The sequence below is a fragment of the Homo sapiens genome, chromosome 1 (assembly GCF_000001405.40).
Source record: "Homo sapiens chromosome 1, GRCh38.p14 Primary Assembly".
Taxonomy (NCBI): domain Eukaryota; kingdom Metazoa; phylum Chordata; class Mammalia; order Primates; family Hominidae; genus Homo; species Homo sapiens.
In genome coordinates, this window is record NC_000001.11 from 226,850,667 (window position 1) to 226,877,696 (window position 27,030).

Sequence of the window (27,030 nt, forward strand, 5' to 3'; positions counted from 1 at the left end):
CAAGTGTGTCCTTTAAAAAAATAGGTGAATAAGTTTTGTCTAATTCAGTTTATTTAAAGGTTATGTATAAAACAAGGTAAAAGGAACCAGGAAATAAAAAAATATGTAAAGAAAGTTATAAAAATAAAGAGGTATTTTTTGCGGTTAGAAACCTTAAAGAGAAATAATTTTATATGAGAAAGAATCTTGTATGGTAAATTTAGTCCTAAAATAAAATGACTGGTTGTTTAAGAAGGAGGGATATTCAGGATAAATCAGGAAGTATAAGTGTCAGAGGCATGTGAACCAGAGCAACTCCATCTTGAATAAGAGCTGGATATAATGAGGTAGAAACCTACTAGGCTGCATTCCCAGATGGTTAAGGCATTCTAAGTCACAGGATGAGATAGGAGGTCAGCACAAGATACAGGACATAAAGACCTTGCTGATAAAACAGGTTGCAGTAAAGAAGCCGGCCAAAACCCACCAAAAACAAGATGGCCATGCTATCTTGCTACACTCTGACCAGCGCCATGACAGTTTACAAATGCCATGGCAACATCAGGAAGTTACCCTATATGGTCTAAAAATGGGAGGCATGAATAATCCACCCTTGTTTAGCATATCATCAAGAAATAACCATAAGAATGGGCAACCAGCACCCCTTGGGGCTGCTAAGTCTATGGAGTAGCCATTCTTTTGTTCCTTTACTTTCTTAATAAACTTGCTTTCACTTTACTCTACGGATTCGCCCTGAATTCTTTCTTGCACGAGATCCAAGTACCTTCTCTTGAGGTCTGGATTGGGACTCCTTTCCTGTAACCCAAGTATGTCATGAACAGTCAGTGTAAATCACAAGATGATTTATTTTTTAAAAAAATGTTAATATGGATCAAATTGTCATATTATTATCAAGTTTCGGTTTGCTTAGAAAAAAACTGAGAAAAAAATTTTTCTAAATTAAGGTTATTATATCCATGTACCTCCTTGTATGTGCTTTTAAAGTCCTTGTGACATTGAGTAACAGGGATTCAACTCCTGGGTCTAAAAAGGACACCAAGTCCTGCTAAATCTTAAACACTGACAGCCAATTAAAGCCCTATCTTCAGGCCCTGTAGAAGATGCCAATCAAAATAAACTGCATTCTTGAGACACAGGGCAAGAAATTAAAGCTATTCAACTCCTCAAGGCCCAGGGACTATCGCAGAAGAGGTGGGCACGTATGATTGTGAGGGCTGATTTTGAAAGGTAAAATAAGTTCAGGTTTTCTATAAATTAATCATTAATGTTAAAGGCACACAGATGCAAAACCAGCATATGGTCCCCTGTGTCAGATTAACAAGGGTTTTTTTTTTTTTTTTTTTTTTTTTTGAGATGGAGTCTTGCTTTGTCTCCCAGGCTGGATGGAGTGCAATGGCCTCATCTCAGCTCACTGCAACCTCTGCCTCCTGGGTTCAAGCGGTTCTTCTGCCTCAGCCTCCTGAGTAGCTGGGATTACAGGCACGTGCCATCACACTCGGCTAATTTTTATATTTTTAGTAGAGATGGGGTTTCACCATGTTGGCCAGGCTTGTCTCGAACTCCTGACCTCAGGTGATCCGCCTGCCTTGGCCTCCCAAAGTGCTGGGATTACAGGCATGAGCCACCGTGACTGCCCTAACAAGGTTTTCTTGAAGTATTAACCAACTCCTTAATAAAGGTTGTAAAGGTTATAAAAGGCTTATGGAAGCTATATCATATGGTCAAGATTAAAATTTTATAGATTATTTATAAAATTTTGAAAAACAAATTTAATTGGCTTCATGCTGTTTTTATTAGGGCTTATGATTTGGAAAATTAAGTCTCCTCTCTCAAAGATAAAGGTTTTTGCTTTTTTTTGAAATCCTTGAGTTATCACTTTGGTTAAATAAATGACTTATTTTACAATGACCTGTGAACCTATTTTGTGATATCAAATGTTTAAAACCTTTGATATTTGACAAATTCTCCAAAATCAAATTATAAATTATATCTTTTTCTGACCTAATTAATCTTTTAAGATATTAGGCTCCCTAAAGTCCAGAAAATAGAAGTCCAAAATTTGGCTTATTTGGTACAAAAATTATACAGGAAGCATTATCAAATATGAAATTGTGTTGGGTTTTCTTTGGGTTATATTTGTATAAATATGTTATTGGTATATGTTCTAAAATTATGGGAAACTCCTGTAATTCTGACATAACAGTATATATTATCAGTAATAATCATAATTGTTATGTTAAAATTATTGTGTGCCACAGAGGTAACAAATTTCCTCATTAATTGTGTCTTTGATTGTGGCTGCCCTAAAACTTTCATCATCCATGGACAATTGTCCTGTTTTGGTCCTCTTTAGAAGGTAGTTTTATAATCAGCTATACAATTCTAACAAGTGCTCTTGAATGCACGTTTCTGATAACTTTGGAGATTGTGACATCAGAATAGAGGAAAAACTTTCAGGACTCATGGAGAGCTAAAATGTTTACGAGTATCAAGCAGAACAGGAATTAACAGCATGGTCTGAACTAATCTTTTTGACTTTTTGCTTAAAATGTTTGCTGATCCTAAAATCACAAGCATTCCTATACACCAATAACAGATAAACAGAGAGCCAAATCATTAGTGAACTCCCATTCACAATTGCTACAAAGAGAAAAAAATACCTAGGAATCCAACTTACAAGGGATGCGAAGGACCTCTTCAAGGAGAATTACAAACCACTGCTCAACGAAAAAAAAGAGGACACAAACAAATGGAAGGACATTCCATGCTTATGGATAGGAAGAATCAATATCCTGAAAATGGCCATACTGCCCAAGGTAATTTATAGATTCAGTGCCATCCCCATCAAGCTACCAATGACTTTCTTCACAGAATTGGAAAAAACTACTTTAAAGTTCATATGGAACCAAAAAACAGGCTGCATTGCCAAGACAATTCTAAGCAAAAAGAACAAAGCTGGAGGCATCATGCTACCTAACTTCAAACTATACTACAAGGCTACAGTAACCAAAACAGCATGGTACTGGTACCAAAACAGAGATATAGACCAATGGAACAGAACAGAGGCCTCAGAAATAACACCACACATCCACAACCATCTGATCTTTGACAAATCTGACAAAAACAAGAAATGGGGAAAGGGTTCCCTATTTAATAAATGGTGCTGGGAAAACTGGCTAGCCATATGTGGAAAGCTGAAACTGGATCCCTTCCTTACACCTTATACAAAAATTAATTCAAGATGGATTAAAGACTTAAATGTTAAACCTAAAACCATAAAAACTCTAAAAGAAAACCTAGGCAATACCATTCAGGACATAGGCATGGGCAAGGACTTCATGATTAAAACACCAAGAGCAATGGCAACAAAAGCCAAAATAGACAAATGGAATCTAATTAAACGAAAGAGCTTCTGCACGGCAAAAGAAACTACCATCAGAGTGAACAGGCAACCTACAGAATGAGGGAAAATTTTTGCAATCTACCCATCTGACAAAGGGCTAATATCCAGAATCTACAAAGAACTTAAACAAATTTATAAGAAAAAAACAAACAACCCCAGCAAAAAGTGGGCAAAGGATATGAACAGACACTTCTCAAAAGAAGATATTTATGCAGCCAACAGACACATGAAAAAATGCTCATCATCACTGGTCATCAGAGAAATGCAAATCAAAACCACAATGAAAAACCATCTCATGCCAGTTAGAATGGCGATCATTAAAAAGTCAGGAAATGACAGATGCTGGAGAGGATGTGGAGAAATAGGAACGCTTTTACACTGTTGGTGAGAGTGTAAATTAGTTCAACCATTGTGGAGGACAGTGGGGTGATTCCTCAAGGATCTAGAACTAGAAATACCATTTGACCCAGCGATCCCATTACTGGGTATATACCCAAAGGATTATAAATCATGCTACAGTAAAAACACATGCACACGTATGTTTATTGTGGCACTATTCACAATAGCTAAGACTTGGAACCAACCCAAATGTCCATCAATGATAGACTGGATTAAGAAAATGTGGCACATATACACCAGGGAATACTATGCAGCCATAAAAAAGGATGAGTTCATGTCCTCTGAATGGACATGGATGGAGCTGGAAACCATCATTCTCAGCAAACTGTCACAAGGACAGAAAACCAAACACCACTTGTTCTCACTCATAGGTAGGAATTGAACAATGAGAACATTTGGACACAGGGTGGGGAACATCACACATTGGGGCCTGTTGGGGTTTGGAGGGCTGGGGGAGGGATAGATAGCATTAGGAGAAACACCTAATGTAAATGACGAGTTGATGGGTGCAGCAAACCAACATGGCACATGTATACCTATGTAACAAACATGCACGTTGTGCACATGTACCCTAGAACTTAAAGTATTAAAAAAAAAAGTTAGCTGATCCTTTGTTTTTTCTGAGTCTAAAACTTTTCTTTTGAGCTATCGACAGCTTTTAACAATTTAGTATATTCTCATGAACAAAATTTGGGGCATATTTGTTTCTCTCTACTTGATATCTACAGAATTTGGAAACTATGAGTATTCGTAACTTATGGCAATACAGTTATTTGCATAAGTGCAATAAAAATCTGTTTTCATTTGTAACAGGACACAATTGGAGAAACTGGTTATTTTACCAAGGCTTTGACTGGAATAGTGTACTTTCCTTTAAGGAATCAACTTGGCTTATGGAGGAAATAAAGCCCGTGGCAAAACTGGCCTCATATTTTGTGTACGCAGTGCCTGTACAAGGTTTCTGACCTGTGGTAAGTAAAGAATGTCACTTTCTAACAAGTCCAGAAGCCCCAGGTTTATCTTGGAACCTCAACAGGAGAGGAAATTCACCCAACTCATTGATATTTGATGCGCAAATCCACGACTGGGCTTGGCTTTAAAAAAGTCTTATCTGATATCCCTTCTGTGGAACAAAGTTCCATCAAAGCCAATTAAAAAACTATTAAAAAATAATTATTCTTGCTGCACTGTATACAAATAATTAGGCCAAGTATAATAAGGCAAACCAGTCCTACCATGATTTGTCTTCAGCAAGGGAAACTGGAGAGAGAAAACTTATGTTTCAAAAAGTATAGTACACCTGTTGTTAGATTCTAATCCTGCCTAATGTTTTTCAATTTTTATTATTTCTACAGTTTGGGTTGAATTCTAAATTTTTTCTTGGCTACAAGTCTTCAAAATAATGTTTTCAATTATTTTTTCTTTTTTTCCTTCTTTTTTTCCCATTTTTCCTAATTGGGAATCACTGAAAGCTAAGCTGTGCTTTCTTAAAGCCCTGCGAACTGAAACTAGAGAACTTAAACTTCAGAAGAAAATAACAGCAACCTATTTACATACATAAGACACTTTCATACCTGCCTACTGATGTATAGACTTCAGAGGAATGTGGCCTGTATCAATTTTGCAGGATTGTTCTTTTGTTTGTTGTTGTTTTTCTCCCTTCCTCCTCCTATTTTCTCTTCAGAGGACACTAGACTTCACAATCTGCTAAAAATGAGCTTTCAGCACCTGCTCGTCTAGGAATAAACCATCCCAGCCATGAGAGATCAGATGAAACCTGAGACCAGAGACTCATTTTCTTGCAAAATGCTTTCTCGAAAAGATTTTAGAAAAGTTGGGAAATGTGAAAGGAAAGTATCTTGGGCCCCTTCAAGCTGGGAACCACTCAGGGCAAATCTGCCTCCCATTCTCTTCAAAGACATCCCTCTGCTCACAGAGATAGATGCATATTCTGATTACCTGCTTTGGAAAGACTTATCAAAAACTCAAAAGAATGCAACTGCTTATGTTTCACCCTATGTGTGACCTGGAAGCTCCTTCCCCACTTTGAGTCTTCCTGCCTTTGCTTCAAGTTGTGCTGCCTTTCCAGACCAACCAATGTACTTCTTACATATATTGATTGATGTTTCATGTCTCCCTAAAATATATAAATACTGGAACAATCTCTGCTTTGTGTAAATCTGGTTTAATTTGATTCTTTGTGTTAGCTCAGAAAATATTTATAGTAAATACCGAAATGGGGCGAACATCTTTATCATAAAAAGTTAACATAAATTACTAAGAAAAGCATCAAGAAACCAAAATATACACAGGTGAGGGCCATGATGGGTCTTTCACAAAGGAGAACATGAAACTGGTAAGCAAACATAGGAAAAATTCATACTTCCTAGTATTCAATGGAAATTAAAACACTGAGGTTTTTATGAATCTTTCAAATGAGCAGTTTTATAAAAAACTGAAACATTTAATAATGGCCGGGATAGAGACACTCTCATATCCTCCTGCAGGGGAGTAAACCTTAATTCAAGTCTTTTGAAAAGCAGTTTGAGAATATACTTCAAAAGCCCCATGCGACATAAGAAAAAATATATTGATCTCTGCCCCCAATTCCTGATACATATCTAAAACCCCTAGAATTTCCTGGGTGATAGAAGGATCTTTTGTTCTAATGAGGTGACTCTTGGTGGGCTCCTGGGTGGGCACCTGGCACCAGAAAGACCAAGACATGGTTAGGAGCTTGGAACTTTCAGCCCTATCCCCCCATCCTCAAGGGAGGAGAGTGAGGCTGGAGACTGAATGCACAATGGATCATGCCTATGAACTGAAGCCTACACCAAAATCCCTAATCTGCAGAGTTCCAAGAGCTTCCAGGATGCTCAACACATCCACGTGCCAGGAGGGCGGTGTACCCCAACTCCATGGAGACAGAAGCTCCTGTGCTCAGGACCCTTCCCACCTCACCCTAGGCACCTCTCCATCTGGCTGTACATCTGAATCCTTTCTACAAAACCAGGAGACGTAAGTAATGTTTCCCCTGACTTCTGTGAGCTGTTACAGCAAACTCTCAAACCTGAAGAGGAGGCTGTGGGAACCGCCAATTTGTAGTCAAGTTGGTCAGAAGTAGCAGAGGCCTGTGTCTTATGCTTGGCTCTGAAGTATGGGCAGTCTGTGGGGCCTGTGAGGTGTGCACTAACTCCAGGTAGGTAGTGTCAGAATTGAACTGAATGTCAGGACACCCAACTGGTGTACAGAGAGTTGAAGAAATGATTAAGAGTGGGGAAAATCCCCATACGGTTGGTCAGAAGTGTTTTGAGTAGAAAAACAGTGTTTTTATAGACCCCGATAATTTTACTTTGGCAGATTTAGAAAGAAATCTAAATACGGAAAAAGAAATCTATGGCCTAAAATTTTTTTAACTGGAAATAATCTTTAATAAGCACAACAGTGAGTATATGGTTATAGTGTGGTGTATCTATTCTTTGGAATACTTTTTCACTATTTCTTTTTTTTTGAGACGGAGTCTCACTGTGTCACCCAGGCTGGAGTGCAATGGTGTGATCTCGGCTCACTGCAACCTCTGCCTCCTGGGTTCAAGCAATTCTCCTGCCTCAGCCTCCTGAGTAGCTGGGACTACAGGCACGTGCCACCACGCCCAGCTAATTTTTTGTATTTTTAGTAGAGACGGGGTTCCACTGTGTTAGCCAGCATAGTCTCAATCTCCTTGATATCATGGTCTGCCCGCCTCAGCCTCCCAAACTGCTGGGATTACAGGCGTGAGCCACTGTGCCCAGCTCTCTTACATTATTTCAAATAATGTTTTAAAGACTACACAATAATACATGCATAAAATGCAATGTCAAGGGGGAAAGGCAGGCTACAAAATGCTCTACATACTGTATTTTTGATAAAGGTTGAAAGGAAATGCACCAAAATATTATTATTGGTCATCTTTGGAAGATGAAACTATTATTTTCTTCTTTATACTGCTTAGGATATCTAAGTTTTTGTTGTTGTTGTTGCTTTTTTTTTGAGACGGAGTCTTACTCTGTTGCCCAGGCTGGAGTGCAGTGGCGCGATCTCGGCTCACTACGACCTCCGCCTCCTGGGTTCAAGCAGTTCTCCTGCCTTAGCCTCCTGAGTAGCTGGGATTACTGGCATGCACCACCATGCCCAGCTAATTTTTGTATTTTTAGTAGAGACGGTTTCACCATGTTGGTCAGGCTGGTATCTAATTCCTGACCTCGTGATCCGCCCACCTGGCCTCCCAAAATGCTGGGATAACAGGCGTGAGCCACCGCACCCAGCTCTTTTTTTTTTTTTTTTTTTTCTTTTTGAGACAGCGTCTCGCTCTGTCGCCCAGGCTGGAGTGCAGTGGTGTGATCCCGGCTCACTGCAATCTCTGCCTCCCAGGCTCAAGTGATTCTCCTGCCTCAGCCTCCCGAGTAGCTGGGACTACAGGCATGTGCCACCACACCAGGCTAATTTTGTATTTTTAGTAGAGACGAGGTTTCACCATGTTGGCCAGGCTGGTCTCAAACTCCTGACCTTGTGATCCGCTCACCTTGGCCTCCCAAAGTGCTGGGTTATAGGTGTGAGCCACTGCACCTGGCCTAGAATATCTAAGTTTTCTTTAATGAATGTGTATCGCTTTACCATAGAAACAAAATCTGTAAAGCCAGAAAAAATCATGAATGCTAATTAGCGTAATACAATATTATCTTATAATTTAGATGTGGAAGCAAACAAAATGTAATGAAACTAAAAGTGTTATCCAGATGTATGCATTACTTCTTTTCTCTCCACTGTCAACAAAGTAATTTCTGGCTAAGTGGGAATAACCATCTGAGAGCTACTACTTCCCTTCATAAATCAACATGTGTATAGTAGCACACAGAACCCAAGAAAATGCAGAGAAAGCCAAGGAATTTTTAAAAGAAAAACATTTGCCAAATTGTCTACAAAGTACGTGTTGTGAATTTCATAAATCTCGTTAGAATATGACAATAAAGTGTGTGTGCACATCTTTGCAATGGTTTACAGAAACAGACACCAAAATGCTAAGCCCATGCACTACACATCATAGAAATATGGAATGAAGGTGGAGATGTCCTTAGATAAAATGGCATAAATAAGCAGTTCTCAAAGTGTGGTCTGCAGACCCCCAGGGTCTGTGTGGGCAAAATGGTTTTCATAATAATATTAAGACTTTGTTATCACTCATTTTCACTATGTTGATATGTGCACTGATGGAACAAAATCAGTGTTGGGTAAAACTGCTGACGCCTTAGCATGAACAAACTCTGTGACGCCAAACAGAGTAGTCGATGCTGCATTCTTCACTGCTATGATATTGGTGATTTTTTTAAAATGGCAGTCTCAGTTGAGAATGTACTTAATAAAGCAGTAAAAATTATTATTATTTTTTTTTATTTTATTTTTTTTTTTGAGACGGAGTCTCGCTCTGTCGCCCAGGCCGGACTGCGGACTGCAGTGGCGCAATCTCGGCTCACTGCAAGCTCTGCTTCCCGGGTTCACGCCATTCTCCTGCCTCAGCCTCCCGAGTAGCTGGGACTACAGGCGCCTGCCACCGCGCCCGGCTAATTTTTTGTATTTTTAGTAGAGACGGGGTTTCACCTTGTTAGCCAGGATGGTCTCGATCTCCTGACCTCGTGATCCACCCACCTCGGCCTCCCAAAGTGCTGGGATTACAGGCGTGAGCAGTAAAAATTATTAATTCCATCTAATCTCTGCCCTTGATCCTGTACTGTTTTTAATATTGTGTGTGATGCCACGGGACGTAGGCATAAAGCATTTCTGCTACAATTTGAAGTATCTTGGTTGTCTCCAAGAAAAGCACTTACGTCATTTTGTGAGTCGTAACCTGTACTGTTTTTTGCATAGAGCACCATCTTGAAAATATGACGGACAACCTGAAGTGATTCAGACTTGTGTATTTGGCAGACATTTTCTGAAAAATGAACAAAGTGAGCCTGTCACTTCAAGGGAAACAACTGATGCTATTTGTTGCCAATGATAAAATTTGAGCTTTCAAATGAAAGTGAGAATTCTGGAAAACTTGTATCTGCCATTATGAGTTTAATAGCTTCTCTGTATCTTTGGATAAGATTGACATTAATGAATGTGATCTTTTTTATCTTGTATAATGAAATGTGTCAACAGTTGGAAGATCTGCATAACTTAGTGAATCAGTGTTTTCCAAATGACCAGTACATCATGTTACAAAATAATGCATAAGTAAAAGATCCATTCAAATTGCAAGATGGGCCAATGGGTATTAATGTAACAGATATGAAAAGTTTGTTGATATGATTTCATGTTCTACATTGCAACTAAACTTTAAGAAATTACAACTGTTAAATTTGGTGTTATATCAAAGAATAATCCACAATGATCTGAAAAGGCTATTAAAATACTCCTATGGTTTTCAACTATAAATCTACATAAGGCCAAATTTTCTTCATATACTTCAACCAAAGCATCATATCACAACAGACTGAATGCAGAAGCAGGTGCAAGAATCCAACGGTCTTTGGTTTAGCCAGACACTAAAGAGATTTGTAAAATTGTTGGATTAATTTTTCCTTTTTCTTTGAGACAGCGTCTCTGTCCGTCACCCAGGCTGGAGTGCAATGGCGTGATCTCAGCTCACTGTAACCACTGACTCCCGGGTTAGAGTGATTCTCCTGCCTCAGCCTCCTGAGTAGCTGGGATTGCAGGCATGCGCCACCACACCCAGCTAATTTTTGTATTTTTAGTAGAGACAAGGTTTCACCATGTTGGCCAGGCTGGTCTTGAACTTCTGACCACAAGCAATCCACCCAACCTGGCCTCTCAAAATGCTGGGATTACAGGTGTGAGCCATTGCACCTGGCCTTGTATTAGTTTTTCTATTGCTACCATTAAAAATTACCACAAACCACAGTGGCTTAACAACACAAATTTATTCTCGTACAGCTCCGTAGGTCCGCTGTGTGACATGGGTTCTCACTGAGCTACCATCAAGGTATCCCAGAGCTGTGTTCCCTTTTGGAGGCTCTAATGAAGAATCTGTTTCCTTACCTTTTCTAGCTTCTGGAGGTCCTGTTCATTCCTTAGCTCTTGACTCCATCCTCAATCTTCAAGGCCAGCAATAGTGCATCTCCCTCTGAGCCTTCACTGTCACATCTCCCTCTCACCAGTTGGAAAAGGTTTTCCATTTTTCAGGAGCTGATGATTAGATTGGGTCCACCTGGATAATGAAAGATAATCTCCCATCTCAAAATCGTTAACCCTAATCATATCTGTAATGTCCCTTTTGCCACGTAAAATAACATGTTTTATAGGTTCAGAGTATTAAGGTGTGGACAGAATTGAGGGCCATAACTGCTCACCATGAATGTGAAACAGTACCATTCTTCCCACTAAATTTGTTTGCAAAATAGATTTTTCATTAGAATGTCATATCTTAACACATAATGGGTTTGTCATTCTAAAGTGAGTGAATATTTTTAAAAAATTTCTCAGTTTTGCTTTCTAACATGGTATCTTGGTCCACTTAATGTTGCTGTAACAGAATACCTGAGGCTGGGTAATTTATAAAGAAAAGAGGTTTTTTTGGCTTATGATTCTGGAGCTGGAAGTTCAAGAAGCACGGCGCCCACATCTGCCTGGCCTCTGGTGAGGGCTTCCCGCTGCATCATAACATGGTGGAGAAGCAGAAGGAGAAGCAGGCATGTACAAAAAAGGGACCAAAAACAAGGAGCAGCTTTGCGTTATAACAACCCACTATCATGGTAACTAGTTCAGTTCTGCAAGAACTAGCCGGGTCTCACAAGAAGTCCATCTTAACGAGCTAATCACCTCTGATACGCCCCACCTCCCAACACCGCTACACTGGCAATTCAAGGTGAGTTTTCACAGGGACAAACCACATCCAAACCACAGCATATGGTTAAGTATTGGTAAACATAAACCACATAAACAAAAGCTTTTGGAGTTCTGAATTAGTTTTAACAGAGTATAGAGGTTATGAAGCCAAGAAGGTTGAGGATTGCTGGCTTAAATTTTTGAAATGGTAAGAGCAGACCCATCCTAAGAGTGTCTCAAAATCACATAAACATCCTCCATGGAAAGATGAAATCATCCCATAATACAGAGAAAATGCTGGAAAAATGTGGTGGTAAGTGTCATTAGGTGAGTTGACCAGAATCTTTCAGATGATTGGTGCCAACTCCCAGACACACTGGCAAAAGCTCTAGCAAAGAAAGAGCTGCTTTAAGGTGTCCTTTAAGCATCCCTTCTGTCCCCAGTGTCACACATGACTGGCAAACCCTAGGGATGTGTCCCTAGTGCCTATGCTATGGCTGGGTTTCATGCATGTCGGACTGACCTTGCCCTGGAACCCTACTGGTGAGACTATTGTTGACATGGAATGTGGTTCTGCATGGCTCAAAAGAAACTACTTCAGGCTCACTCCATGGCAATCTTATGTCAGATATTGCTAGCACTTATCTACTCTTCTTTTTTTAGAGACAGAGGTCTCACTATGTTGCCCAGGCTGGACTCAAACTCCTAAGCTCAAGTGATCCTCCCACCTCAGACTCCTAAGTAGCTGGAACTTACAGGCATGAGTCACCACACTTGGCTTCATCTACTCTTCTATTTTTTTTTTCATGTGAAGCAAGGCTTCCAAATTTGTGAACAATAATATAGTCTATCATTTCAATGTCAAACAAAACCAAACAAAGCTCCTACCTCAAATGAGAAGAGAAGTAGGAGAAGGAAGACAACTAAAATTTGTAGAGTGCCTGCCATAATCCTGTCATTTTGACTGGTTTCTCTTTAATTCTCTCTATAAACCTCTGAGAGATATCATCCTATCCTCTCACAGGTGGGAAAACTGAGGCCCAGCAAGGTTAAGAAATCACCCTGGGTCAGGCAACAAATAAGTAGAAGAGACAGATTTCAGACCTGGGTCCATCTGGTTCTAACATTCACACGGGTTCCGTTCCCCCACGCTGTCTGCTAAGCAGTGTTGGGACCCTAGAGTGTGTTAAAAGAAAACACCATGCTCTGAACACCAAAACCCGAAGAGAGGCCATCCCTCCTGAACTGAGGCCAGGCCCAGGAAGAAGTTTACTCATCCCTCACAAATCAGCATGTGAAAAGCAGCTGACGACCTCAAAGGAAAACCACAAAGGGAATGAATTCATCAAAGATCCCTCAGCCACAGCCCCAGTGCATGCACTGCCATGGGACCTTCAAAGTGAAGGAGAGGGCCAGCCACTGCATTGGGCCAGAGGGACTTGAGTTCCACATCTGGTTCTGCTACTCATTATCCAAGCACAATTGGGAAACAATTTTGTCTTTGTAAACCTCCATTTTCCCATGTGTAAAAAAGCAATAATGCCCTCCTCTCCCTGAGTTCCTCCAAGAATTAAAATAAGGAATCCAAGACAGAGACAAGACACTCATGGGTAGTGAGAGAGACAAGTGAAGAAGACCCTCCTGATAACTCCCAGTAAACGCTGTGCAAAGAAATGGAAGCAGAGAGAGCTGCATGGCATTGAGCATAGCTAGTGGGGCATACAGCGTAGGAGGAATGTGGCTGGAAAGGCCGTGTGTGCAAGCAAGCTTTGATTTAACTGTATGTGAGGGAATCACAAAATTACAATGGCTTAAACAAGATAAAAGTGGTTTTCCCTCCATGAAACCAAGTAAGGAATTAGGCAATGCCAAGCTAGTGGCTCCACAATTGAGGACACAGCTCCTTCCATTTTGTGGCTTCACCGTCCTCATGGTCTTCATGGCCCAGCATGGCTACCTGAGCTCTGGCTATCATCTCCATATTCTCGAAAGGAAGCAGAATGACAAAAAAGACATGCCTCTTCTCCTTCCATCCGATTACCTGGAACTTAGTTACAGGGCTTCACCTAAAATAGTCTGAGGGATTTCTGAGTGCAGTGGCTTATGGGCAGTTGTCCATGTACCTAGGATTCAGGGAGAGGACTAAACATTCCTCATGTAGCTTGCTGGTGCCAGGGTGAGCAATATGGACTTTGTTCTCAAGTAATTGTGATTGTGCATTTTGACATGCCTGGCAGTTCCCTGGGGGACTGGTGCAGAGGCTTGTCTTTTCTTCAACCCCTCAGGCTGGTGCACCTCCCCAGGTGGCATCTTGTTTGTTTTTGAGACAGAGATTCACTCTCGTCACCCAGGTTGGAGTGCAATGGCACGATCTCAGCTCACTGCAACGGCACGATCTCAGCTCACTGCAACCTCCGCCTCCTGAGTTCAGGCAATTCTCCAGCCTCAGCCTCCCAAGTTGCTGGGATTACAGGCGCCCACCACCATGCCTGCCTAATTTTTGTATTTTTAATACAGACGGGGTTTTACCATGTTGGGCAGGTGGGTCTCAAACTCCTGAGCTCAGGTGATCCACCCACCTTGGCCTCCCAAAGTGCTGGGATTACAGATGTGAGCCACCGTGCCCAGCCTGTTGAAAACATTTAAAGACATAAACTCCCCATAGCTGTCTGGAGCAAGGGACAGCAGATGGGTCATGCAGCACATAGACCAAAAATCCTGGGAAGGAGGACGCTGAGGAGGAAGATGCTTGGGGAAAGAAGGTCGTTGAAGGGCTACTGCATATACCAGGGAACCCAGGCTGCAATGCACATGTCCAGGGCTGGACACATGCTCAGAAAAGATCTAAGAGGACCCTAGGCTTGCACCTGTGGCTGATCTTTGTATTCCATGCAAGCAGGAGGTAAAGTCTAGGGAAAATGGAAAGAGTGGCTTGGCTAAGTGTCTAAGGAATGCCTCAGCTCAGAGCCAATCTGCCAAGATCAGAAGATTTTTCTTTTGTGTTTGGTCCAGGTGTTTTTAGTCCAGGTATTTAAGGAAATCTGTGTCAACTGTGGCTGACCACTGAGGTAACAGATCAAAGACTTCAGTGTCTACATATAAAGAATGCAGTCTGCAAAAATCATATGGAAATGTCACTAAACAAAGAAGACTGCAGCCCTTAATAAGCAATAACAGCAAATCTTGCAAAGGGCAAAGAATCTGATTTCCAGAGTTATCACATTATAATATTCAAAATGACCAGTTTTTTTCTTTCAATCAGCTTCCTCAGGTTGAAATGTCGTTTTTAACAGCAGCAAAAAAAATTAGAAGGCATACCAAGAAAAAAAGAAAAGTATAACCCATTCACAGGAAAAAGAAACTGACAGAAGCCATCCGTGAGGAAGCCTAGACATTGAACTTGCCAGGCAAAGAGGGCTGGACTGTTCAGCCCTACCCCTTGACCTCCTGGGTCAATGATTTTATGGCCAATGATGTTGATCAATCAATGGTGCCTACGCAATAAAACTTCCATAAACACCCCCAAATGGCTACGTCTGGGGAGCTTCTGCTAACTTCAGGTACATATTATCAGAATTGAATTGAATTGTAGGACACACACTTGGTGTCTGGAGAATTGTTTTTGTGTGGAATAAAAAAACCACACACTTGGTGTCAGAAGTGTTGTGAGAAAAAATAGTTCAGAGAAGTATTCCCTCCTCTTCTATTTCTTAGTAGAGTTTGAGAATTGGTGTTAATTTTTCTTTAAAGGTTTGGCAGAAAATTCACCAAGCTGAAGCCATCTGGTCCTGCTTTAGGGGAGGTTTTTGATTACTGATTCAACCTTTTTTTTTTTTGTTTGTTTTTGAGATGGAGTCTCGCTCTGTCACCCAGACTGGAATGCAGTGGCTCAATCTCGGCTCACTGCAAGCTCCGCCTCCCGGGTTCATGCCATTCTCCCGACTCAGCCTCCTGAGTAGCTGGGACTACAGGCGCCTGCCACCACACCCGGCTTTTTTTTTTTTTTTTTTAGTAGAGATGGGGTTTCACCGTGTTAGCCAGGATGGTCTCAATCTCCTGACCTCGTGATCTGCTGGTCTCAATCTCCTGACCTCGTGATCTGCCCGTCTCAGCCTCCCAAAGTGCTGGGATTACAGGCTTGAGCCATCGTGCCTGGCCTTACTGATTCAACCTCTTATTGGATTCAATCTCTTTACTTTTCCTAGCTTGTTCAGATTTATTTCTTCCTGAGTCAGTTTTGGTCATTTGTGTACAGTTGTTCACAGTATTCACTTAAAATGCTTTTTTTTTTTTTTCCTGTAAGGTCCATAGTGATGCCCCTACTTTCATGTCTGATTTTAGTTATTTGCATCTTTACTCTTTATTTCTCAGTCTAGCTAAAGATTTGTCAGTGTTGTTCATCTTTTCAAAATTTTCATTTCAGCTATTGTACTTTTCAGCTCCAGAATTTTGATTTGGTTTATTTTTCATAATTTGTCTCTTTGCTGATATTCTGTTTATACATTTATTGTTTACCTGGCTTCCTTTAGTTCTTTGTCCATGGTTTCCTTTAGTTAGTTAAGCATATTTAAGACCATTTAAATAAACGTTTAAGTAAACTTTTAAACATTTAAATAAAAGTCTTTGTCTAGCAAGTTCAATGTCTAGGCCTCCCCAGGGATGGTTTCTATCAATTTCTTTTTCCTGTGAATGGGTTGTACTTTTCTTTTTTCTTGGTATGCTTCCTATTTTATTTATTTATTTACTTTTTGGTTAAAAACTGGGCACTTCGGGCCTGGCATGGTGGCTCACGCCTGTAATCCCAGCACTTTGGGATGCCGAGGTGGGTGGGTCACAAGGTCAGGCATTCGAGACCATCCTGGCCAACATAATGAAACCCTGTCTCTACTAAAAATACAAAAAATTAGCTGGGTGTGGTGGTGGGTGCCTGTAATCCCAGCAACTCGGAAGGCTGAGGCAGGAGAATCGCTTGAACCTGGGAGGTGGAGGTTGCAGGCTGCTGAGATCGCGCCACTGCACTCCAGCCCTGGTGACAGTGGGAGTCTCTGTCTCAAAAAAAAAAAAAAAAACAAAAACTGGGCACTTCAACCTGAAAAAGCTGATTGAAAGAAAAAAAAACCTGGGCATTTTGAATATTATAATGTGGTAACTCTGGAAATCAGATCCTGTTAATGCTTATTAAGGGCTGCAGTCTTCTGTTTGTTTAGATCATGCCTTAGTCTTTCTGGCCACCAGCCCCTATCCTGAAGCTAGTCAGGGGTCCCCAGCCACCAGTCATTTCATTAGCATACCAACAACATTCATCACACCTGAGATTCCAAAGGTTTTAGAAGCTTGTGCCAGGAACGGGGATAAAGACCAAATATTTATTTTTATTATATCACAACTTCCTAACTCATTTATTGAGTCATTATGCTTCACCTTAGGGCATATGCAGCCTCTTCACATTAGGGGAAATTCAGCCTATCAAGTGCAACACTGAAAGCTAAATAACAACAACACAACAACAACCAATCAGGGATGGGCGCGGTGGCTCATGCCTGTAATCTAATCCCAGCACTTCAGGAGACCGAAGCGGGAGGGTCACTTCAGGTCAGGAATTCGAGACCACCCTGGTCAACATGGCAAAAACCCCCTCTCTACTAAAATTACAAAAATTAGCTGGGCAGGGTGGCACATACCTGTAATTCCAGCTAACTTGGGAGGCTGAGGCAAGAGAATCACTTGAACTTGGGAGGCAGAGGTTGCAGTGATCTGAGATCGTGCCACTGCACTCCAGCCTGGGCGAAAAAGCAAGACCCTGTTTCAAAACAACAACAACAACAAACCAGGTTGGGGAGTTATTTCCCAGGAATTCTGTAGCAAGGGCTCATATGCATCAGTTAGAGTTGGACTTTGTGACCTTCAGGTGTCCTTCCTTTTCCAAGAATCGATTATTTTTATAATTCTGTTAAATGTAATTAATTTCTCAAATTTATCAAAGATCATTATTTGGACCATTATTTTCTTAGCCAAAATGCTGGCCTGCCCCAGTTCCATCCAGGGTTAATCTGCATTTAAACAGCTCTTTGAAAATATTTGGTTTTCCCCATCCATCTATGGCCAATTGATTTTTGACAAGAAGCCAAGACAATTCAATAGGAAAAGGACAATCTCTTCAACGAATGGTGCTGGGACAACTAGAAGTCCACATGCAAAACAATGAACTTGGACCCTAACCTCACACTACATACAAAAATTATCTTAAAATGGATCAACAACCTAAATATAGGAGCTAAAACTATAAAACTCTTAGAAGAAAACACAGGAGTAAATCTTCACAACCTTGGATTTGACAATGATATCTCACACAGGACACCAAATGCACAAACAACAAAAGAAAAAACAGTTAAGCTGAAGTTCATCAAAATTAAAGTTTTATGTGCATGAAAGGACATCAGAAAGTGAAAAAGACAATTACAGAATGGGAGAGAAATATTTGCAAAGCATATATCTGATAAGGGTCTAGTGTCCAGAATATATAAAGAACTCTTACAACCCAACAACAAAAAGACAACCCAATTTTAAAATGGGCAAAGGACTTGAATAGGCATGTCTCCAAAGAAGATATACAGATGGCCAACAAACACATGAAAAGGAGAATGCTTAATAGCATTAGTTATTAGGAAAATGTAAACCAAAACCAGAATGAGGTACCGCTGCACACCTACTAGGATAACAATAAAATGGAAAATAACAAGTGTTGGTGAGGATGTGGAGAAATTGGGATCCTGTACATTGCTGGTAGGAATATAAAATGGTTCAGCCATCGTGGAAACCACTTGGGGTTCCCCAAATAGTTAAACACTGAAGGCTGGGCACGGTGGCTCATGCCTATAATCCAGCACTGTGGGAGGCCAAGGCAGGCAGATAACTTGAGTTCAGGATCAAGACCAGCCTGGCCAACATGGGGAAACCCCATCTCTACTAAAAATACAAAAATTAGCCAGATGTGGTGGCACACACCTGTAACTCCAGCTACTCAGGAGGCCGAGGCAAGATAATTGCTCGAACCTGGGAGGCAGAGGTTGCAGTGAGCCAAGATTGCGGCCACTGCACTCTAGGCTGGGCAACAGAGCAAGGCTCTGTCTCAAAAAAAAAAAAAAATTGAATTACCATGCGATCCAACAATTCAACCCCTATGTATGTACCCTCCCCAAATAAAAATGGGCTCTCAAACAAATACATGTACATGCATGTTCATGGTAGCATTATTCACAAAGCCAAAAGATGCAAACAGCCCCAATGTCCATAGATGAATAAACTGTGGCATACATGATACACACACACACACGCACACACATATACATATACACACACAAACACTATTCAGTCATAAAAAGGAATAAAGTCTGTTACATGCTACCTGAGGATGAACCTCGAAAACATGCTAAGTGAAAGACACAAAAGTCCACACACTGTGATTCCGTTTATATGAAGTATCTAAAGTAAGTAAATATAGAGACAGAAGTAGACTGGTAATTGCCAGGGGCTGGGGGGGAAGAGGGCATTGGGAAGAAACTTCTCAATGGGTATGGGGTTTTTCTTTCGGAATGAGGAAAATGTTTTGGAACTAGACAGAGGTGGTGGTTGCACAGCATTGTGAATTCACTAAATGCCACTGAAATGCCCACTTTAAAATGGTAAATTTTATGTTATGTGAATTTCACCTTAAGTTAAAAAAAAAAAAGTAAAACTACTCAGACAACGCCAAATTATTGACAATCTCAACCTACCCCACAGACCCCAAATCCTGGAACCACAACCCCCTAGGCCAATTCTCAGGTCAGGCAGCAATTTATTCCTGTTCAATTTTATGCAGAGCTCCTGGTGGCTCTGAAGCGCCCTAGGGAACAGACCAGGAACATTCTCATGGTGTTAGCTCACATTGGGCCATTAGTGCTCCTTTAATGTGAGAACAACCGGGAGGAGGAGGGGATGTGGACCCAAAACTACAAGAAAGAGTGTCCTCGAAGCCTATGTCCTACCGCCCCACGCTGCTGCCAGGCCCGCAGGAAGATGACAGGCCCGGCCTCCACTCCTTCTAAGGTCGTCGCTTAGTTCCGACGTCGGGATGACCCTGTCATCCACGCGGCGTGAAGGCCACCCTCCCCGCGCGCCCGGGACTCCAGGTGGGGCCCCAGTGGACGAGGGAACGCGGCGTCGCCCACCGGGCGTGGCCTGGGCGGGCGTGGGGCGGGGCCTGGGCCGGCGCCGGGTCCGGCCGGGCGCTCAGCCAGCTGCGTAAACTCCGCTGGAGCGCGGCGGCAGAGCAGGTGAGCGGGCGGTGCCGGGGGGTGCCCAGGCCAGGGCCCTGTCGCCTGCGGCGCTGAGGGCCCGGGGTGGGGCTGCGCCCTGAGGGCCCTGCCCTGCCCTCCGCACGCCTCTGGCCACGGTCCCTTCCCCGGCTGTGGGTCTGCGGCCCCTGCGTGCGCAGCGCTCCTGGCCTCTGCGGCCAGCGCGGGGGCGGAGAGAGGAGAGTGCCCGGCAGGCGGCGGCTGGGCCGGCCCGGAACTGGGTCGTGGAAGGATCGCGGGGAGCGGCCCTCAGGCCTTCGGCCTCACTGCGTCCCCACTTCCCTGCGCCCGCCTGCCGCCGAGCCCCGGCTGGGGGTGGGCGCGGCGCGAGCGGTTAAAGGGCCGGTGCATTTAAAGGAGCGGTGCACGTGGGTCTCTGAGGCGTGTAGCAGGCGGGGGCGTTTTGTTCTTCTTCTCTCTCGCCGGAGACCTCCGTTGCGCCGAGTCCATTCGGCCTCTAGCACCGGGTCCTGGGCATGCTTTCCCCGGGAAGGAGGCGCGCGGGGGCTCTGCCCGCACGTGAGGGGCAGGGCCGCAGGCTCAAGCCTAGAGCCGGTTTCTGTTAGCAGCGGTGTTTGGCTGTTTTATCAGGCATTTCCAGCAGTGAGGAGACAGCCAGAAGCAAGCTTTTGGAGCTGAAGGAACCTGAGACAGAAGCTAGTCCCCCCTCTGAATTTTACTGATGAAGAAACTGAGGCCACAGAGCTAAAGTGACTTTTCCCAAGGTCGCCCAGGTACGATATAGCAGAGCCAGGCTTCGACCCCAGTGTCCTGGCTTCTAGATCTGCTGTCCATCCCTCCGAGCAGACCTCACCCCTGTTTATTGCCTTAATAAGTATTCCCTTTGAAAGGTATGAACGGTGTTGAGTGAAGTAACTGCATCCCTATTTACAAATGGAGAACCTGAGAGCATTCCATAGAGACGATTGTAGACTAACTTAACTCAGAAGCGACAGCCTGGGGTTGCCAAGGCTGTCTACGAAGTAACTTGATTAGGACCGACCCCAGCTTCCAGTAAGGAAGCCTCTGATGCCTCTGTAGCCAATTCTGCAGACACCTGAGCCTCCAAGGCCTTCAGCCAAGACCTTTGGCGGTAATTGGAGTCTCGGGATAAGCTGCTTCAGGTGTGTGAGCCTCAGGTTCTTCTCTCCTGAATGTGGTTGTGGGCAGCCGGTGACTGGCGCAGGTGCAGAAGGGGCCTGGTTCTTGGCCCCACCTCAGAGCTGCGTCCTCACGACGCCCACGTTGAGCCTTGGGTTCCAGGGCAGAGACTGGAGTGAGGGCTTGGGGGCATGTTGCTTTGAAGTGGGATGGATGTATCAGGTTTTTGGGGAAAACTCTGTACCCTTTGGTGTTGAAGTGCCCATGTGCCAAGTCTTGAGTCCAGCATGTTCACATGTGGGGAGTGAGTGGCTTGTTCCTGTCTATTTGAAAGAGCAGCAAGGAGGAGGAGGAGCAAGGGCTAGGGGCTGCTGCTGGGGTGCCTGGAGCTGTGGTGCATAATGTCACACCTGTCTCCCCTCCGTAGCTGCTCACCGTCCCCCCAAGGGGGGTTTGCCTCTTGCCTACTTTGGCCTTTCTCTGTTATCGATGTTAATAATGACATATATCTCGCTTATGAGTTGGTCATAATAAAAAGCTATCTTGTACAGAATATTAGAATTTAAGATCTTAAGAATTTCAATGACACTGAAATAGTTTATTATTACCTTTTTACAGAAGAGGAAACAAGTTCAGGGAGTTAAGCAGCTAGTCCAGTTATGTGGCTTCAGTGCTTTAAGCACCAGGATTTGAACATAGCTGGCTACACTGTCTTTATCTCTTGAGTTTTTGCGCAGGAGGTTCCTGTATTCAACTCCTACCCGTGTCTCTCCACTACTGCTGGGAAAGTTTTGTGGAGTCCCCATGAGCAACTTCCTGACAAACAAACAAAATTTTTTTAAAGAAACCAAAGCAGTGTGTGTAGGTCACATGCAGTGTGTCTAATGAAAACATCTCTGGCGGGTTTTCAGCTGTTGCTTTGACTTTCGGACACTGTTTAGTTGGGGACTGATAAGACAGCAAATATTTCTGCAAGTATTCCCACCTGTTCTATTCCCAGCTGCCACAGCTGCGGAAAGGCGGGGGTGAGGCTGAGAGGCCCCGAGAGGAACATTTTCCACTGGGCTCCAATCCTGGAGATGGGATGACCATCATGTTAATGTCTGGAGAAAAGAATGATTTCAGGCTGGGTGCTGTGGCTCATGTCTGTAATCCCAGCACTTTGGGAGGCCGAGGTGGGTGGATCACCTGAGGTCGGAAGTTTGAGACCAGCCTGACCAACATGGAGAAACCCCATCTTTACTAAAAATACAAAATTAGCCGGGCGTGGTGGCACATGCCTGTAATCCCAGCTACTCAGGAGGCTGAGGCAGGAGAATCGCTTGAACCCAGGAGGCGGAGGTTGCAGTGAGCCGAGATCGGGCCATGGCACTCCAGCCTGGGCAACAAGAGCAAAACTCCATCTCAAAAAAAAAAAAATGGTTTCACATCAGTCCTCAGGAAAGATCAGATGTCAGTGAGGGAGATCATTTCTTGAGAGCCTCTTCACTGAGTGGGAGAATGGGCTGCTTGTTCATCTTTGTGAAAATTCTAGAACGGGAAGAACAATTCAAAGGGTGTCCACCATTCTGCTGTACCTTAACCAGAAACTTACTGGACTCTTTTTAAAATAAAAGTAATTCATGTTTATTCTAGAAAATTAGGGAAAAAAAATTTTTTTTGAGATGGAGTTTCACTCTTGTTGCCCAGGCTGGAGTGCGATGGTATGATCTCAGCTAACTGCAACCTCTGCTTGCCGGGTTCTAGCGACTCTCCTGCCTCAGCCTCCTGGGTAGCTGGGATTACAGGTGCCTGCCACCACTCCCAGCTAATTTTTGTATTTTTATTAGAGGCGGGGTTTCACCATGTTGGCCAGGCTGGTCTCAAACTCCTGACCTCAGGTGATCCGCCAACCTTGGCCTCCCAAAATGCTGGTATTACAAGCATAAGCCATTGCGCTGGGCTGAGATAACCACTCTTAACATGCATTTCCTTCCACACTGTTCACATATGCATATTTATCTATTAAAACAATAGAGGGAGGGAACCGTAGGTGAAGTTTGTGTATCCTGTTTTTTCTGTTATGCCTTCAGAATTTTCCTTTTATTGAGTACTCATGGAAAAGCAGATTTGATGGCTGTGTAGAGCATTTGAATTATTTATCCTACCAGTCCCACAGCAGGACACTTTCCCACCCTCCCTTTTGCCCCAGAGAAGCAGTGCCCTCTGTCCTCCCCATGCCCATATGTGGGCACTCCCCACCATGGAGCCAAACCTACCTGGGCAAGTAGCAGAGGGAGAGCAGAGTGAGCCCTGGGGGCAGGAGAGAGACTTGAGAGTTTTGAGGTGACAGATGAGCTGGTGAGTGAGTGATTAGGGAGCATTTCTTGACACATACCTGCCCGTGGTGAAGGCATGTGTCTTGTGAGTGTGCTCCCAGAAAGCCTGTGTAGTGTGTGGTGGGCCTGCCTGTGTGACCAAACCCTGGCCACTGGGTACGTGACCCTCACAAGTGCTGACTGGGCTGAGAAGAGCTCCTTGATGGGCAGTTTGGAGACTTGAGTTGTAACTGTGGCTTTTGGCCATGGGACATTAACTGATTACTTTTGCCCCTCTAGGCTTCAGTTGTCCTTAATTATAATACAGGGAGCTGACTAGGTGGCGTTGATGGCCTTTACGGTCCTTGCCAGCTCTGACATTGTCCTATGGATATGTCCTTTCATTTGATAATATGTTTACGTGGCCATAGTGCCTGGGGCTGGGCCGGGAATGGAAACTTGATCTCTGGGGCCTGGCCTTTGAAGCCAGTTCATGTGTCTGGTGGTTCAGCAGATCCGTAACTTTCCAAGAGGCACATCCATAGGCTACCGTGTCCTTTCTCACTGTGTCCCTCCTCCATTTCATCTTCTTTATAACTACGACTTATTGAACATCTACTGTGTGCTGGACACTTTACAGGTTATCTCTAGGTTTTACGATAATCTTGCAAGGTATGCCTGTTCTGCTTTTTACAGCAGAGGAAATGAGCTGTGTCAGATTAGACTGTCTGAGGCCTCTTGGCCAGGGAGTATGTGGTTCAAATCACATAGGCAGGCGATCTGAACCCTGTCAGTCTCCAAAGCCTCTGCTTTTGACCGCTGACTTGCTGCTGCTTGTTTAAAAATAAATGTGTTTCTGGAGCCTACTCCAGAGGGGCGTGCTAGGGGCTCCCTCTCCCACTTCCCCACAAACCACCCTTTTCCCTGGCTGCTTCAGGAAATGAGAGAACTCTGCCTGGGCCCCAGGCACTTCTGAGTGGGACAGGGCTGTTAGAGGTAAGTCTAGAGCCTGGCCCAAAATTCAGGAGGCCCCATCAGAGGGCCCCTGGGGCCTGTGGTCCGGGAGGGTGGTAGGGCAGTACCTCACTTCCCTTTGAGACTCAGGCCCCAGCTCTGGCTTAGGCCAGGGAGAACCATCCCCAAGTGGTATGTGTTACTATATGAGCTGAGATGGATGGTCAGCTGGACCAAATACATAGTCGGGTACCCAGGGCCAGGGGGAGGAAGGTGAGCAGGGAAGCTGTGGGCAATTGTCTGGGTATCACCTGACCTTAGCAAACTCTTCCTTGTTTTAAGCGAGGACGTGGGACTTCTCAGACGTCAGGAGAGTGATGTGAGGGAGCTGTGTGACCATAGAAAGTGACGTGTTAAAAACCAGCGCTGCCCTCTTTGAAAGCCAGGGAGCATCATTCATTTAGCCTGCTGAGAAGAAGAAACCAAGTGTCCGGGATTCAGACCTCTCTGCGGCCCCAAGTGTTCGTGGTAAGTGCAGTGACTCCCAACCTGCTTTTGAACCCTCTTTTTCCATTAGGATTTTCTCCGTGGAGGCAGATTTCCATGGGAGTTTGCTGTGGCATTTTGAAATCTGTTTCTTACCTAGTTCCATTGGCCTTAAATGTTAAGGCCAAAGCCTTTACATTTCTCTGTAATGAAAAGAAGGTCGAGGAAATTGGGTCATTGGGTTTCCATAATGATTGCAGGAACTGCTGACACAAGCACGGCTGGGGAGATTCTCTAGGTCAGACTCCCTTGGTTTGGCTAATTCAGCAGTTTGATCCCATTCAGCTGATTAATGGGAATGTGCAGTGGCTTCTTTGGATGTTTGATTTTGCATCCTAATCCAAAGCAGCTATCAGCCTCAGCACTTCCTTGTTGGAAGGCTTTCCAGAACGTAGTCTATGTTGGACACTTCCTTCTGCCTCTCTGCATTTTCCTGCCACTTCTCTAGAGAATGGGGTGCAGGGGGTGGGAGACGGGGAAAGCTGGTCGCTGAGTGGCTGATGGGACTTGACATCACCCAGCCCCACCCCCACCTGCCCGTGAGTCAGCCTCCGGGGAGAGTTCATCGCGTCACCGGCACTCTAATGTGGACAGACACCTAGCAGTGTTGTTTATCTGCACACGTTTGGGTGGTGATTTTTCCCTCCAAGGATTTCAGAGCACCAGCAGGCTTCAGAGCAGACTTAGGTGGCTTGCAAAGCAGGCCCTCAGGAATTCAGAGGGTAGCAGAAGTCCATCCCAGATGCTCTGTTTTCCTTCAGGAGCTAGGTAAATCAGAGGGGCTGAGGGACAAATGAAAAAAGTTACAGCCTTTGAGTCCCATCTGCTCCTCCTGGCCAATGAGAGGGGATCTGGGAGGGGCAGATGTAGAGGAAAATCTGTCTAAATGTTGATGCTCGTTATTTTCCTTTAAAGAATTAATAGCCTAAAATAAACCCTACAGATACAGTCTGTGTTTATTATGGCGACTTAGAGAAATGCAGAAAAATATCAAGAAAATAAAAACCACTCTTGGTTCTACCATGCAAAGATAATCATCTTTAATGTTTTGTAATATTTCCGATCTTTTATATACATACATTTTATAAGGACATTCAGATGATCAGGTTCGTAAAGTTTTATGTTCGGTTAAATTTAACAGCGTGTCATTGTTCAGGTTATTAAATGTTTGAAATAAGATTTTTGGTGGTCCTGTCACAGTCTCCATGAAGTAGCATTTCAGGATCGAAAGGTATGCTGTGTTTAAAGTGTTGATTCTTACTCCTTTCAGTTAAGGCCAGTGCAGTTTGTCCAGGTAGTGACTGAGACCCAGTTTTTCCACACTCTCCTCCGCAGTGGGCATTGTTTTGGGCCTTTTTCAGCCCAAGAGCTCTCTTCTCCCCATGCCGCTCTGCTGGTCTGAGATTTTTCCACTCCTCCTCCTCCCTAGTTGCTCTCTGACCAGACTCTAGGTATTCAGGAGAAAGTGTTCATTGTCTCACTCTCTCATGTGGCAATCAAGTAGTGCCAAGCAGTGAGAGGGTGAAGGTGGGTGGGTGAGGGACACTCACCTTGCTGAGAAAGGGCCCCAGCCTGTTCGGGTGATTATAAAGCAGAGACAGTGCCAGGAAAAGTCTGACACTGGCTGAGAATCACCCGGGGACCAACCATCCCGAATGCGGATCCCTGACACTGGGTGAGGATGGAGCTTGGAGATCTGCATTGTTAATAAGCAGCCTAGCAGAGTGGTGAAGAGTCCAGACACACTACCTAGGTCCAAGGGTAACCTTGAGCTAATTACTTTTTGAGCCTCTGTTTCCTCATCAGTACCATGGGGAAGAATAGTAGCACCTTGCTCCAGGATGTTTAGTGCCGGCTAAGGGCTCAGCAGGTGCTGGTCCATCTCCACCAGCCCCCAGTGGCCTGGGCCACCTTTGAGAAACAGTGATCCTAAGGGATTCAGCATTTCCTAAGTTGGTGCCTCCCACCTGTCACCCCCACCCCACCAGGCTAGGAGGGTTGTGATTAGAGGGTGCCCTTGCTGTGACAGCTGAGACTAGCTCTTCCCTGATTATTCCTTAATGACAGCTCTCTCCTTCCCTGCTTTCTTGAAGTCTTGGTCCTCGTTGTTGTGGGCACAGCTTCAGGG

The 27,030-nt window shown here is 43.9% G+C and overlaps 1 protein-coding gene and 1 long non-coding RNA gene across 12 annotated transcripts in view, besides 4 other annotated features; one reads left to right on the plus strand and one right to left on the minus strand.

The window, feature by feature from the left end:
- Positions 224-958: an enhancer, noted in NCBI's record as "OCT4-NANOG-H3K27ac hESC enhancer chr1:227038591-227039325 (GRCh37/hg19 assembly coordinates)". NCBI's record gives its function as "activates a minimal SCP1, AML or CMV promoter by ChIP-STARR-seq in primed H9 embryonic stem cells {active_cell/tissue: H9 hESC(primed)}" and the evidence as "EXISTENCE:reporter gene assay evidence [ECO:0000049][PMID:30033119]".
- On the minus strand, positions 8,337-19,884 carry LOC105373119 (uncharacterized). Its single transcript, XR_949226.4, has 3 exons — positions 19,696-19,884; positions 10,883-11,051; positions 8,337-9,770 (listed from the first exon to the last, which is right to left on the minus strand). It is a non-coding gene; the product is annotated as an uncharacterized LOC105373119 (long non-coding RNA).
- Positions 12,708-13,256: an enhancer, noted in NCBI's record as "OCT4-NANOG hESC enhancer chr1:227051075-227051623 (GRCh37/hg19 assembly coordinates)". NCBI's record gives its function as "activates a minimal SCP1, AML or CMV promoter by ChIP-STARR-seq in naive H9 embryonic stem cells {active_cell/tissue: H9 hESC(naive)}" and the evidence as "EXISTENCE:reporter gene assay evidence [ECO:0000049][PMID:30033119]".
- Positions 19,753-20,352: a silencer, noted in NCBI's record as "silent region_1893". NCBI's record gives its function as "represses an Ori minimal core promoter by ATAC-STARR-seq in GM12878 lymphoblastoid cells {active_cell/tissue: GM12878}" and the evidence as "EXISTENCE:reporter gene assay evidence [ECO:0000049][PMID:35858748]".
- Positions 19,950-27,030, plus strand: part of PSEN2 (presenilin 2) — a 33,053-nt gene continuing 25,972 nt past the window's right edge. For 7 of the 11 annotated variants that reach the window (XR_007061979.1, XR_007061980.1, XR_949150.4 and 4 more), the window contains exons 1-3: positions 19,950-19,983; positions 20,596-20,738; positions 24,699-24,884. The gene's annotated coding sequence lies outside the window, so the exon portion shown is untranslated. Of the gene's footprint in view, positions 20,739-24,698; positions 24,885-27,030 lie in introns of all 11 variants that reach the window. The other 4 variants (XM_047425601.1, XM_017001835.2, NM_001437537.1 and 1 more) reach the window with 2 other exon arrangements.
- Positions 20,363-20,412: a silencer, noted in NCBI's record as "silent region_1894". NCBI's record gives its function as "represses an Ori minimal core promoter by ATAC-STARR-seq in GM12878 lymphoblastoid cells {active_cell/tissue: GM12878}" and the evidence as "EXISTENCE:reporter gene assay evidence [ECO:0000049][PMID:35858748]".